Source organism: Homo sapiens, chromosome 12, assembly GCF_000001405.40.
Source record: "Homo sapiens chromosome 12, GRCh38.p14 Primary Assembly".
NCBI lineage: Eukaryota > Metazoa > Chordata > Mammalia > Primates > Hominidae > Homo > Homo sapiens.
Window position 1 is genome coordinate 129,692,832 of NC_000012.12, and position 14,595 is coordinate 129,707,426.

At 41.4% G+C, this 14,595-nt stretch overlaps 1 protein-coding gene across 1 annotated transcript in view, besides 1 other annotated feature; it reads right to left on the minus strand.

Annotated features, from left to right (window-relative positions):
• Window positions 1-14,595, minus strand: part of TMEM132D (transmembrane protein 132D) — an 832,300-nt gene that overhangs the window by 621,106 nt on the left and 196,599 nt on the right. The window contains exon 2 of the mRNA NM_133448.3: window positions 6,979-7,867. Coding sequence (NP_597705.2) covers window positions 6,979-7,867 — 889 coding nt within the window. The remainder of the gene's footprint in view (window positions 1-6,978; window positions 7,868-14,595) is intronic.
• Window positions 6,902-7,402: an enhancer, noted in NCBI's record as "H3K4me1 hESC enhancer chr12:130184278-130184778 (GRCh37/hg19 assembly coordinates)". NCBI's record gives its function as "activates a minimal SCP1, AML or CMV promoter by ChIP-STARR-seq in naive H9 embryonic stem cells {active_cell/tissue: H9 hESC(naive)}" and the evidence as "EXISTENCE:reporter gene assay evidence [ECO:0000049][PMID:30033119]".

Below are 14,595 nucleotides of genomic sequence, written 5' to 3' on the forward strand. Positions count from 1 at the left end.
CACTGGGGCCTGTCGGGGGAGGGCAGTGGGGGGAGAGCATTAAGAAAAAGAACTAATGCATGCTGGGCTTAGTACCTAGGTGACAAGTGCAGCAAACCACCACGGCACACGTTAACCTATGTAACAAACCTGCACATCCTGCACACGTACCCTGGAACTTAACAATATATAATTTAAAAACAAACTTGACAAAATGTACAATAAGTTTTGATAAAGAAAAAACTCTTAGCAAACTAAGAAGGAAAGAGAACTTTCTCAACTTCATAAAGAACATGAACAAAAAGCCTATAGGTGACGTCGTACTGAATGTCGAGAAACTAGATGCTTACTCACTAAGAAGAGGAATGAGGCGTGACAAGCCCTTCTCACCATTACTATTTTACATTGTACTGGAGCCAAATGAAAGAGCTCTCAATAGCCAGAGTGGGAAAATTTGAGCAACAAAATTCATAAAATAATATTAGATTAAACCCAAAGTATAAAATAAATATCCAGGTGTTCTCACTGAAATAAGTACATTATTGAATAAATACATAAACGAGGGAAAATAAGCAAATGTCCCCTGCAGCATTCTAAATAACTTAAGCAGCTATATTGCCCTCAAGGGGGTGAAGTATCACTTCCCTCTTTACAATTGTGAGCTGGGCATAAGCACTTCCTTCCAAAGCATAGCCTTGGGAGAATGGGAAAAAAGTAACTTTACGGTGGAGAAACCTGACAGACCCAGCCTCAGCGCGGTGCTGGTGAGGTGGGATAGGTGGCCGAGGAAACGACCATGTCCTCAGGATATGGCAACCTTGGGACCTTACGATCAATAGAATAAACCTCCCCATTAGCACTGTAGTCAAGCTCATTGAGCAGAGCACTCTTCAGTAGGGAAATTTCCCCTGTAGAGAGCATGCGTATTTTGACTTTCCCTGTCCTCAGGCAGACTCTTTGCTTATTATAATAGTAAAAAAACACACCCCTGGGTGGAGATTTCGGACGCTAATGAGACATGCGATGTATGCGACGTATGAACAAGCTTGTGCAGCTACTGCGCATGTGCACCCAGAGGACCTCCCCCAGACATGCTTCCTAGTAACACCTCTTCCCACCCGCTCATGAATCATCATGTAAGGCTCCCATAAAGGGAGTCTCCCTAGTGCCCATCTTTGCTGTCTCATCCTTAGGAGCAGCCTGCCTTGAATCCTCTCTCTGGTGTACTATCTATACTAAACTTCACTTTCAAAATATTTTCTTTTGCAATACATTGCTCTATGGTGCATTTCCTTTGCTGTGTGTCTCTTGTTTAAATTCTTTTAAACTAAAAAGGCAAGAACTGGGGTCTCACAGCAGCCGTCAGCCCTGGAAGTGAACATCAACAGTAGCAAGTCCTGTGGGCTGTACGCACCCTCGATGTGATAAACATGGCACTTTGCCTCTGTGGTTTTCCTCCCCCAAACCCATGATCCCAGTGCAATCAGGAGAAAGAGCATCAGACAAATCCCAATTGAAGGACATTCCTCAAAACAGCTGACCAGTAAGTCTCAAAATGGTCAAAGCCACCAAAACCAAAGAAAGTCTAAGAAATGGTCACAGCTACAGGAGTGTTAAAGCAAAATAAATATGGCCTGAGAAGGACTCTATTTCCATGTTTGAGTCCTTGTGGATGAACTGCAACCTAGCTTAATAGGCAGACAAGATTGAAAACCTAACTTCGGAGTATGCGCCTGTAACAGTGGCTGAGTCTTGGCCAATCCCAGTGGCCATACTTCAACCAGTCATAGACTGCTGAGTGTTCAAACTGTGTTCAAATAAGGCAAACACTGAGCTGTAACCAATCCAGCTGTTTCAGCACCTCACTTCCGGTTTCTGTACATCACTTTACTTTTTTGGTCTATAAATGTGTTCTGGGCCGGGCACAGTGGCTCACGCCTGTAATCCCAGCACTTTGGGAGGCTGAGGCGGGCAGCTCACGAGGTCAGGAGATCGAGACCATCCTGGCTAACAAGGTGAAACCCCGTCTCTACTAAAAATACAAAAAATTAGCCAGGCATGGCGATGTGAGCCTTTAATCCCAGCTACTTTGGAGGCTGGGGCAGGAGAATCGCTTGAACCTGGGAGGCAGAGGTTGCAGTGAGCCGAGACCACGCCATTGCACTCCACCCTGGGTGACAGAGTGAGACTCCGTCTCAAAAAAATAAAAAATAAATAAATAAATAATGTGTTCTGACCACGAGGCACCCCTGCAGTCTCTCTGAATCTGCTGATTCTGGGAGCTGCCTGATTCACAAATCATTCATTGCTCAATTAAACTCCATTGAATTTAATTCAGCTGAAGTTTTCCTTTGAACAGGAGTTCCAGGAGACATGACCCCTATATGTAATGCAGTCTCCTGGATGGGATCCAGGGACAGCCAAGGGGGGCAGCAGATAAAAACTAAGGAAATTTGAATGAAGTATGGACTTTAGCTAATAATCATGTGTCAATATTGGTGAATTGGGACAAATGCAGCACACAATTGTAAGGTATTAATAAAAGAGGAAACTAGCGGGGACATATGGGAACACTGCAATAAGTTCACAAGTTTTTTGTTAAGTCATATCAGTTCTGAAATTAAAAGCCTGTCCGCCTCTCACTCTTCTATTTCAAGCAGCTCTATCAATCCCCACTAGGGTAACAACGGGATGTACAATCCCAGGTACAGACCACATGTCACTGGACATTGGTATAATTTGAATACACCAACATCTGTCCTCTTTGTTAACAGTGCCCCAGTCTTCACAAGAGGAAAATGCCTCATCTCATGGGATGTATTCTTAATGAAGGGTAATTCGAGGAACCATTTTACTTCATGGAAGCTGCATCTGGTCCCTCTCCTACCCCTGGCACAGCCAGCTAGTAGACAGGTGATTCAGCAGGGGCTGCATGGAGGTCTCTGCAGCTTATGTGCGGATAACGAGAGGAACTATTGAAGGAATTCACTGTGAGGGCGGGAGAGAGTTGCTGAGAGGCTGCTGTGTCCACACGCAGCCACCAACCTCCATCAGAATCTGCATGGCCAAGCTGGGTCCCATGATATCCATCCAGTAAACCCTTTTATTTATTATTTTTTCTTAAATTAGCTGGAGTGTGATTTATGACCTGCAACTTAGAATATCACTGGATACACCAGGGCACATTTTACCTGAAATAGAATAAGAAGAAATCCTATTCTGGGCCAACACAGGTTCAAAGGTTACATCATTCAAGTGAATTAAGCTCACAGGGTCAATTTCAAACCACCATATTATTTCCTAATAAGCTTTAAGTCTTCGGCATATCTGGCTACCAAAACCACCAAAGAATATCGTCTGAGCCTCATCAATGCCAGGCTCACTTCTGCCCTTTGTCAAACACTTGTATTTTATTCTCTTGCTATCTCCTTTCTAAGCCTCACCTTTGCAAGAGTATCTCCTTAGTAATGTCTCATTCCAACCTGGTCTTAAAGCCAATCACAGTGCTAGGCATATGGCACTTAACAAATTCTTGAGCATTTAAAACTGCAGAGACCTCAGCAAAGTGCACATATTTGTTAATAATCAGCAATTCATTCATTCATTCAAGAAATCTAAGGATGTCTCTGCCTTTAAGAACAGCCCCTTCTCTGAGCTTGTTCCACTGTTCTAGGCCCCCCGGCTGACTGTTGTGGGCTGTTAGGTAACCAAGGGAATGCTACACCTTTACTGGGTTCCAGCCTTCCATTCGGATCTGAAGACCAGAGCTCTTTGGAAACGGACTCCCTGTGGTGAAAAGCAACGAAAGAATAACTGGTGAGGGTGTGAAAGAAGAGCCCCAGTTCTTATCTTCCTCCAGGCCCATGGCAGGTAAGTAGAGACTGGGATGCGTCTGAGCCTTGCTCTCAGTGGGGGAGGGACACAGGAGAATGTGTGGCTAGAAGAATATAGAAGAAAAGGTTCCAGTGCTGTGGGATGCTTTAGCTGTTCACTTGAAGGAAAACATTTTCTGGGATTGAATGAGATCGTTAGATGTCTCAGGAATGAAAGAAAGCGTTTTGCTTTTCTTTTCCTGCAGATGTCACCTTCAGAAGATAGAAGCAGCAGGGTAGAACAGAGGTTGTAAGATGACAAAAAGCCCCACCTGGGTTTTCTTGTTCTTAAAGAGTGAAACACACATGCATATATACACGCATACAAATACACACACAGAAAGAAGCTAACTCCTGTGCTTCAGCCGTCGCATGCCCCTGAGTGCCCCTGAGATCACAGGCACGCCGCCGGGGAGGTGTACAGTGGGTGGTCAGTCGCTATCAACAAAGAACTCAAACCGTAGCTGCTGCGTCAGTCCATGATTTGCAAATGTGCATGATGCATATTTGCACAGTCACAGTTTGGAGAAAAGCGCCCAAGGATACTTGGCTGGATCCTTGAGGGTTATTTATAGCAGATGGCCAGAGAGAACAGACGCACACCAATTCTAAATATTTGGAAGCTATGCTAAATTAGTGTCAAATTGACTTCATTTAAAAAGATATACAGTTTTATTATTTTCTAATTATAGGGATTCAAGCTAAAGGATAATAATCTTGCCAGGTCCAAGTTAACCTCCAGCTGTTTACATAAACACATGAGACTCATCCATAATCAGAGCGTTTTAAGTATGCAGCAAGCACATTATTAATGCAACCTCTTAAAGAAACAGTGTAGCATCGTACCGAGGTAAACAGACATTCATGAAACATTTCCTTCATTGTTGTCTCATCTGTAAAACTGATTTTTCAAATTGAATTGACATTTCTAATTGATGGGCTCTGAACAAATATACTTTTGCTGTACTTCTCAAATTTTCCAAACTTTGACCTGTGAGTGGAGCCACCAAATTTAGAAGCTTCAAATGCATTTGCTTGTGAATTTGCCAAGACTTGGAGCCTCATATTGTGCAGCCACACATAGTGAATTTCTCTTGGTTTTGTTACAGACTGCCAAAGATAAAAGCCACCCTTGGACCCTAATGGATATGTTTAGTGTGTCATAAAGTCATGAGACACAAAGCTTTTTGTGAAATTCAGTGCTACACACATCACTGCTTACACACACACACACACACACACAAGCTGCATGTGGCTCTCATCTCCTGAGAGTCAAAGCTTCAGGGGATTGCAGTGTTTAATCCTGCGTTCAGAAAATCAAGTCAGTCGTTGGCGGACCTAAAAAATGGCAGACGGTATGAAACGGTGTAAGATCAAAGCTCCCCTATTCAAACTTTTTGTTTCCACCACCAAAATATTTCTCTACGTAAGCAGCCATCCTCACAAAGAATACTATGTAAGACTGTTGAACCCAGAAAAGTAAAACACAAAGCTAGCAGACCTCATTGAGGACCTGTGGCCAGCTGGATCTAGATCCGATTTCCAGAAGGACGGAAGGGAACGCTAATGAAGGCTTGGCCAGCGCAGATGTGTTCCTGTACCCTAAATCCCTGCGGCTATTCCGCGAATGGCACGTCCAGCCAGGCCAAAGGTTTTTACCTTCCAGGACTTAGCCAAGTTCAGTCATTAGATGCATGTCCATTAGGTTCTGTTTCTTTAGTTAAAATAGGCATTTCTAATACTAGGTCACAATCAAATAAACTTAAATGTGCAAGGTAGAATCAAAACGGTGATTTATTTTCTTAAACTCATCCACCCTTTAAACATAAAGGAAAAAAGGGGAGGGGAGAGGGGAAGGGAGGGGAGGGGAGGGGAGAAGGGAGGGGAGAAGGGAGGGGAGAGGGGAGGGGGGAGGGGAGGGAGGGGAGGGGAGACGGCATGGAGGGGAGGGGAGAGGGGAGGGGAGGGGGAGGGGGAGGGGAGGGGAGGGGGAGGAGATGGGGAGGGGAGGGGGAGGAGAAAGGGGAGGAAAGGGGAGGGGAGAGGGGAGAAGGGAGGGGAGGGGGAAGAGGAGAGGGGAGGGAGAAAGAGAGAGGGAGAAAGAGAGGGAGAAAGAAAAGAATAGAAAAAAGAAAAGAAGAAAAGAAAAGCTAGAAAAAGCAGCCATAAATCCCATATGAAGGGGGATAGAGAGCTGGTCATCATTGGATGAAGTTTATAAGCCCACATATGAAACATGTCTTACATACAGTTACACTCCTCATTTCAGGAGTCATAACACACATTTTATTACATTGCACATCAGGTCAAATTGTTGAGTTATGTAGCAGTGCTAGGACATTTTTAATAACCCAAAAACACTTCTACTAAACAGCTGTTGTAATCAAACTTGCCTGTGTTGAAAATAAAACTAAAACTATATAATGAAAATACAAACAAGCCTAGGCAAGTAGCTTCTCTCATACGTTATATTCCACAGTGAAAACCAGCCTATATTTATTCTAAAGTACACAGAGCTTATTTTCAATGTCTTCTCTTTGGTATATTCTTATATAAGAAACTCAACAAATTCTACTGTATATTCTTCACACGTTATGCTCATTTATTTTTTTGAACACTAAGTTCTATTTCCAGGGAGAAACAAAATGGTAACTTTGAGGTTGGTACCATATTATACTTAGAACTTACATATCTGGAATAGATTTTGAGTTGGCAAAACCGTGTTCCCTGTCCTTTCTGACAACTGTTGCCATTTCATTTGCAGTCTCATTTCAGCTGTGAGGCATTTAACTCTCCCAATTTTGAAAAGCCTTCTTGGATAATTTTAGCATTCCCAAAACTTGCTGATAATACCCTAAGCTAAGGGAAAAGGCGTACCATCAGCAGCCCCCCGGCTGCCCTATCAATGGCTTGGAAAATCTATTAAGACGAATATTCTCACAACCCAATTGCCAACCCGGAACGATCAGACTGGTCTCTGTATTCCACGGTGCAGATGGAGTTTGTAAGAACGGGAAGGCCGGCTCTACTTCGGTGAGCGATAACACAGCTTTTCTGGTCAAACAGCTTCTGGAAAACACCACCTGATCGACGGGCGGGTACAGACAGACATTGGGAAACGACTTACCTCAACGTGAAGCGATCTTCAGTGGAATTTCTGGAGATGGAAACAGGAAAAGTCAGCACGTCTCCTTTCCTCACGGTCTTTGGTATATAGTGGATGGCCACGCTGTTGTCCAGACGCAGTTCTCTCAGGGAGGGTTTCCTGTGTGTCTGATAAAGGAAGATGCTCCCGATCCTCTGCAAGGGGGGCCCGGACTCATCGATGTCACTGTGGCCTGTCCGGATCCCATTGCTTCTCCTCGCGTCTTCCCTGACGCAGTCCCCTCTCTCACCCCCTGGGTGCACGGTGTAGTAGAGCTCCACGGGGGTCCCCTCCGGCTGGTCCACGGACTTCCTCCTCCCGGCAACCACCGTGGGGGGGCTGAACCAGCTGGACAGGAGCTCCAGCTCGGCCACGCACAGCCCCAGGTCCCCCTGCAGCCGGCAGCTGCCCCGCACCTCTCGGGTCTCTCGGAAAGCAAAGACCCTCAGGCACGGCAGCTTCTCCCCGGCGCTGCGGTCGTCCCAGTCTCTGCCCATGATGTGGAACAGAACCTGCACTTTGGGCCGGCTCAGGTAGACTTTGTCCCGCAGGATGTGGGCTTTTAGTTTCCAGTTAAGAGAAAATTTGTTGGTGAATCCAAATGGGTTGGAAGGTAGCATTAAATCCTGGGGCACCACTTGCTCGATGGAGAAAGGCCCGTAGCTGGCATTGAGGACAGGCAGCCTCCTGGATTTGTAAATCAGAAATGACTCCACCCGGGACTGCAGGCTGGAGTTCCTCATGATATCCTGGTTGGCCTCCTTCAGGAAGAAGGAGACGTCCGCGTTGTTGATGTGGTAGGTCACGGGGAGGTAGGTGGGCAGCAAGGAAAACCTCTGGATGCTCTCAAGGATCCCTCGACCTTCCGTCACTGTGGGGAGGGAATCGCAGTGCAGGCGTTAGTAATGCTAAGGTCCTGTTACCAGCATTTCAGACATCTGCGTGCCCCCTTCATAACAGAGGACCCTGTCTTCGCGCCAATTATGCAATTCCTTATCCAAACCTCTTAATCCAATCTACTCGCTTCATATTATTTGTTTCAGAAGAAATAAATGCCACCAACCTAAGTAGAAAACCAGTATCATTTAACCTATAAAAAAGTTGAGCATGCAAATAAATACAATTCAAATACAGTTTTAAAATTTCCACTCGTGATAATGGTGTTTTTATGGGGTTATGGTAAAGACTTGCTCTTTTTTTGATCAAAGGAGAGATTAGCAAGTGTTAGAAAGCTGTCACAGACAAGCTACCATCGACAGAGAGGCACCGTCCCATTGACTCAACACAGACTGAGATTGGAAACAGGAATGACTTCCTCAACACATGGATTGATGCCACGTCCACATTCCACCTGATACATATTCCTTTGTGTTCCACTCATATGCACGTTCTGCATATACGCACATGTCCAATGGGAAATGCTAACAGACTTGGGGCAAAAATAGACGCAGATGCACAATCATAAATCACATGGACAGTGGACACCCGCCCCCAGTTGGAGTTAAGGGGAGAGATGCAGAGAAAATACCTTGGAAGGATATATTGGGAGGGGCCCTCTAGAAATAGATGAGATGAGGTGACCACGACACCAATGTGTCAGGGCCGGGCGTACAAAGCAATGCTCCAAGTCATCTATGAAACACTGGACCCTGAACCTAAGAAGCACGGGAAGGGCAGCACCTCGCTTCCATGCCAGCCACATCCTGTGGACACTACGCCGTCACCAACGAACAAAATCCATTGTTCATTTTTCCGCACTGAACGTATCTCTCCCTCAGGGGGAGAAAAATCCAAAATGTTATTTTCACAAGTTGCCTTACATTCTGTAAGAAAAATGCAGGCAGAGCAATTGCATAATCCAAAGAACCAATTTAAGGAGTTTTAGAAATGTAAACTATTGGCTGGGAACACTGACTTTCTAGGCAAAGCTCCACAAGTTATGCTGAAGCCCTTCTCGTCAGTCACCATGTAATTATCTTTGATTACTCGGACACTCATGGCTCCACCTTTCTCAAAGGCCCACGCAAACACACATCTGGAAGCCTGATGCCTTCCCGAGTCAGGACCCTTCTTGGCAGTCATCCGCCAGCAGCTGAGAGAGCCAAGAGCTCGGAGGCAGGGGTCCTGCTCCCGGCTTTGTGAGACGATGAGCAGGTCACTGACCCTCGTTGTTTCCCATGGACCCATTGGTAGCATGAGGGGGCTGACTGCAGCACTGTAGCCTCAGCCCAGCTGTGATAACACAGGGTGTCAGGCTGCATCCAGTTTAACTTCTAGACAAGAAGTTCAACGCATGTATTCAACCCGAGTTTACAGAAAGCCCTGGATGAAAAAATCTCTCCAATCATCGGCATGACCAAACTCAGAGCAGGCTGAGCTTCCATATAAACAACTAAGGCTTGTCTTGGACTGAACCATTTGAGACTGCTTATAAGTGAGCAGTCTGCATCCACCCAAATGACAATTTCCTAGGGTTCAACGTCATAAATATGGATTGTTTTCAAAAATCAAAATATCATAGATATAAAAAGGGACTCCATGCCTTAAAAAGATTACATGTTTTAACTTTATAGAAATAACTCCTGATTGATATTATCTCTAAACTTGTATCTTCACATGTGAGTTATAGTAAAAACAAAGAAGAGACAAAGAATATTTCAGCCCCTCTCTGGGCACCCTCTCCCCATTTGCCTAGCCACAGTTCTGTGACCTCTCTGGCTGCATTATCAAAGTCACCTTGCTGGGATCCTTTCCTTGACTGTATGATTCTGGGTTATGGTCTCCATCTGGGTTTTTCTGTAGCATCCCCAGCTTCCTGCATCAAAACACGTTATGCTTTGCTGTGATTCTCTATGCACTCCAGTGTGTGATATGCCAGGGAGCAGAAATGACACGCAAGGCTTTTTTCTCTGCTGTATTCACAGTCTTTAAGAGAGTGCCTGGTAAATGTCAGGTACTCAATAAATATTTGATAAACACGTGAATGAATAAATCAACATGTGGATTATGCTTTTTATGTCACAAAGAGCAGATTCTGTTTTTACACTAGGATGTTATTCACTGTCCTCTTGGCTTCCATCACTGTAATCGGAATCCTGGATCCTTTTATCCCATTAAGAGCTCCGTGTAATCCTGGTGATACGGGACTAAGGAAGATGGGCCTCTCCATGTAATGAGACTCCTATAAGACCTACATCAGTTGATACAGTGTCCCCTATTGTTAAAAACACATCTTGGCACCACTCAGAACAAGTACCTTGAGCTGCCTCAGCACTCTTTTGCCATTCGTGCTAGAAACAGCCAAAGCCAGACAACCAAATTACAGATGCTTAAATGTTAATGCCAGACACCAAGGCTCCGTGAACTTCCCTGTTGAACATCTGACCCCGACTACTTGAGGACATGAAACCTAACTGTGCAGCTAATTACACCTTCCAAGGGCAATGACATCGGGTCCTATGATTTTATTCAGGAAAGCAATAAGGCAATCGGGGTCACTGTGAACATCATTTGAAGGGAAGTAACTTCTTAGCTTTATTCCACAAATGGTCTATTAGTCATTTTGCCTGGTATCTGACCTAAATGTTTATTGCTTAAAATTGCTCCATTTTGACCTAAAGCTAGTGTCACTTCCTTTCTTTTTTTTTTTTAACTAATACTACAAAAATAATGCCAATTATGGTCCACGATGCACAGAATGAACGAAGTAAAACTCATTATCCTCTCATCCTTACAGGAATGGTTACTGTCACTAAAGGACATGATTTTTATTTAACATAAAAATTAGCAAAGTGTTAAATTACAAAGAAGCTATACACAGTAAATCTCAGCTAATAATTCGCTAAGGACAAAAATTACTTTTTGATTGGGTTCCGTGGCTGTAATTCTTACTTGAAGGAGAGTGACATGTTCGCATCTTGAAGCAACTCAGTGGTCTGGGAGAGATTTTGTATTAATTTTAACATTTTTGAAAGGATCATTTTTCCCTGAATAATACTTTTTTAAAAAATATGGGAGGAAGGCAATTTGAGCACAAGACTCTCAGTTTTCCCCTATGTGGACTCAAAAGCAATAACTAATCGAATACGGTAATAGGCAAAAAAAAAAAAAATCTACATCCATGCTGAAAATTAGGTACAATCTGCATGCCATAGACTGCAAGAATTACTGGGACTCACAAGGGACTCAAATACCTCACATAGAAAACAGAATGATTAGGGCAGCCAGATAAAACACAAACACCTAATTATGTTTTGATTTCCAATAAACAGAAATATTCCATAGGGCATGCTTATAATTAACAATAAATATTTTTAAATGGTGTTTTTCTGAAATTCAAATGTAGCTAGACATCTTGTGTTTTATTTCCCAAATCTGGCAATCCTCAGCATGGTATTGTCATAGAAAGAAAATAGTTGTCCGCTGAGTAGATAGCTGTAAGATATCTGATATCTAGGCAGCTGACAAATCTACCCTGATATCTGCAAGAGCAAAGGCCATGGGCCATGTGGGTGCTCCCGCACCTGACAATATTCCCAATGCTGGGAGGCAACCAGCTTTGCCATCAGCTGAATCAGAGACCCAAGCATAGGGGGCGCCGCGCTGCACAGAAAGCCCTAAAACATCAAGGCGTCTTGCTGATGCTGTTCTTCCCTAACAGAGACAGTGATGGGGGCAGGAGGTTTGACATAGCCACACTGCTCCTGGAATGAGTCCAAACCTAAAATCACTTACAGGAAACCAGTGCCCATGTGGCCCCTGCACCCAACTCACAGAAGGCACCTTGGAGCAAGGGATCTCCCCTGCTGGGCATGTCAACACCCCAGAGCATCCTCACCGTCCCCCCAGGGATGCCGGGTCATATGGTAACATGCAACGCCAATGTAAACAAGGCTGCCCTCGGTGAAGGATATGTAAATAAACAAAAACAGAAGGAGAACAGGACCTACCAATAAAAGCTGCAGAGTAACGAAGGAAATTCAGAAAGACATTCAAGAAGTAGAGGAATAACATACCTTTGAAGAGTATTTACCATAGAATATTGAAGTACCTTTTATACAAAATGACTTCGGAGCTCACAATCATCAAGAAAAGCAGAGCCTTTGTTGTTTTGTAAGGAAATAAGACTGAGATGGAAGAAGATCCTGAAGTATTAAAAGTAAGGAATTTAAAATGGTTTCAGATGCAATAACACAGATTTGAAAAATGCAGAAAATTGAATTTATCATATGAGAATGGGAGCTTTTGAAGCTTTCCCTACAGCTAAATAGAAAAGGCGAAGCAATGGAAATGATCAGTAAGAGGCTGTAACCATGTGAGATGCACATTAGATGTTCAATATTCAGATGATGGAGCTCCTAATGAAGACACCAGGAAAATGCAAAAGCAGCAGCATTAAAAGGCAAAAAAAGAAACGAAAACATTCCCGGGTTTATATACATATACAAATTCAAAGTAGATCTTTACATTTCCCTGATTCCAGAGAAAACCGAAAACACCACCTTTTAGGTATTTCTAAAAAACACAGTTGCATCAAGGGTAAAGAGTAATTCTATAAGCATTTAGTTAAAAGTAAAATTTTAAAAACTAAAAACTAAGAAAAAAAATCAGATTGTCTTCATTTGCATCCACTGTACAAAATTAGATATTAAAAAATAATGATAAATATTCACAGAAATATGATGAAGGATGTTCTAACTGAACAATTATCTAATTGAACAATTATTTGCCCTCAGGATTTTTCTGGTAATTGTGAGGGCAACAGAAAGAAACAAATGTATACCATATCTTCTGTTGCTGAAAAGAACACTGAAGCTTATTATCTGGGACACCAGAAGGTTAATCAAAGTGCAGTACTCAAGAATAGGAAAATCATGTTAAATGAGAACCAGATAAGCACTGAAAACATTTACGTGTAGAATACATTCAGATAGAGAGTTTCAAATACAGGCAAAACCCCACACATTGAAAATAGTAATAAAAAATTCAGAATCCAAACACTATAAGTAATTTAAAATTTATAAACTTAAAAATGCCAATAGACTTAGGGAACAAAAGAAAGTTAAAGTGGACTAAATTTGTATCTTCATAAGAGATATCAGTAGATATGGCTTTATTTTAGTCAATGACAACCAAATAAAAATATGTCCAACTATACTTTTCTGATAACTTAAATTTTGGTTTCTATGCTTATAGATTAGTGGGAAGAACTGAGGAGAGAGGACAGAAACAGTTTACTGAATAATCTATTGAATGCACAGATAAACAAAAATAGAAAACAAAATATGACAGAAGAACAAATTTATGAGTTATGATATTATATATAAGTGGCTTAGATTATTCCATTAAAAGACTAAGATTCTCGAGCTGGCTCAAAAGTTAAAAGAAAAAAAAGTTAAGCTATAAATTGTCTCCAGGAGAACTTAAATAAGTTGACTGAGGTATTTTAAAAATTAATGAATAAATAAACAACAAAAAGAATAGGCATAGATATTCTATAGAGAAAGAAAACTGGGGTCACAACTTTAATACAAAAAAAGTAAAATTCAAGATAAAAATAAGTAACTGAATTAAAGGTCTTAATTTTAATAAAAGACACAATTCACAATGCATAAATAGTTGTAGATATTTTATGCAAGTATATACAGCCCCCAAATTAATGTAACAAAAATCTCTTAAAATTACAAGTAGAAATTGATAGTAACTAAAATTTGCTTAAATGTTACATACCTCCTTTTCCGGTCTCTGACTTATGAAGTATAGAAAAGTAAATAATGACATGAAGATATAAATAACTAATGCTATTATAATCTCTATGGAGAATACACTCACTTAAAGTGTTCATGGGACCTTCCCATAAACTAATCATATATAAGGCTACAAGGAGACAATAATAATAATAAAATACAGAAATAATTTAAATGATATTCCATGATCATATACACGAGAATATAATTTCATAAAAACTATGAATTTATATTCATAGTTGAATAAGAGAAACCCAACTACTTAACAGTTCTTGAATCAAAATCAAAATAAACCTTTCCATTATACTATATTTACAAGCTGCTAATAATGGCAATACTACTACACATCAAAACATATGTGAAGCAGCCAAAGATGCAGTCAAAAGCAAATTCATAGTCTTCAATAGTATCATTATTAAACGAAATAAAATTGATCAACTAAACACTCAAAATGAGAAACCCAAAACAAAATCTAAATGAAGAGCTCTAAAGAAGCATTAATAAAAACAAAAGTAGGAAAATAACAATGTAAGACAACAAAATTGAGAATTAAATCAAAGAGGTGTTGCATTAGGAAAAATATATATATATATAATATATACTATATCTATAATAACATTGTAATATAATATATAATAGTATATATTATATATGTATATAATACATGTATATATGTGTATATAATATATATGTTTATATATGTGATAGATTGTTAAAAAATGAACAAATCATACATTTATAGTAATAGATTGTTAAAAATGAACAAATCATGCATTTATATAGTCTCTCATACAAAAATTTCCATAAAATAAACAAAAAGGAAGGGAAAGAAAAAGCTTGTGTAATTCTAGAA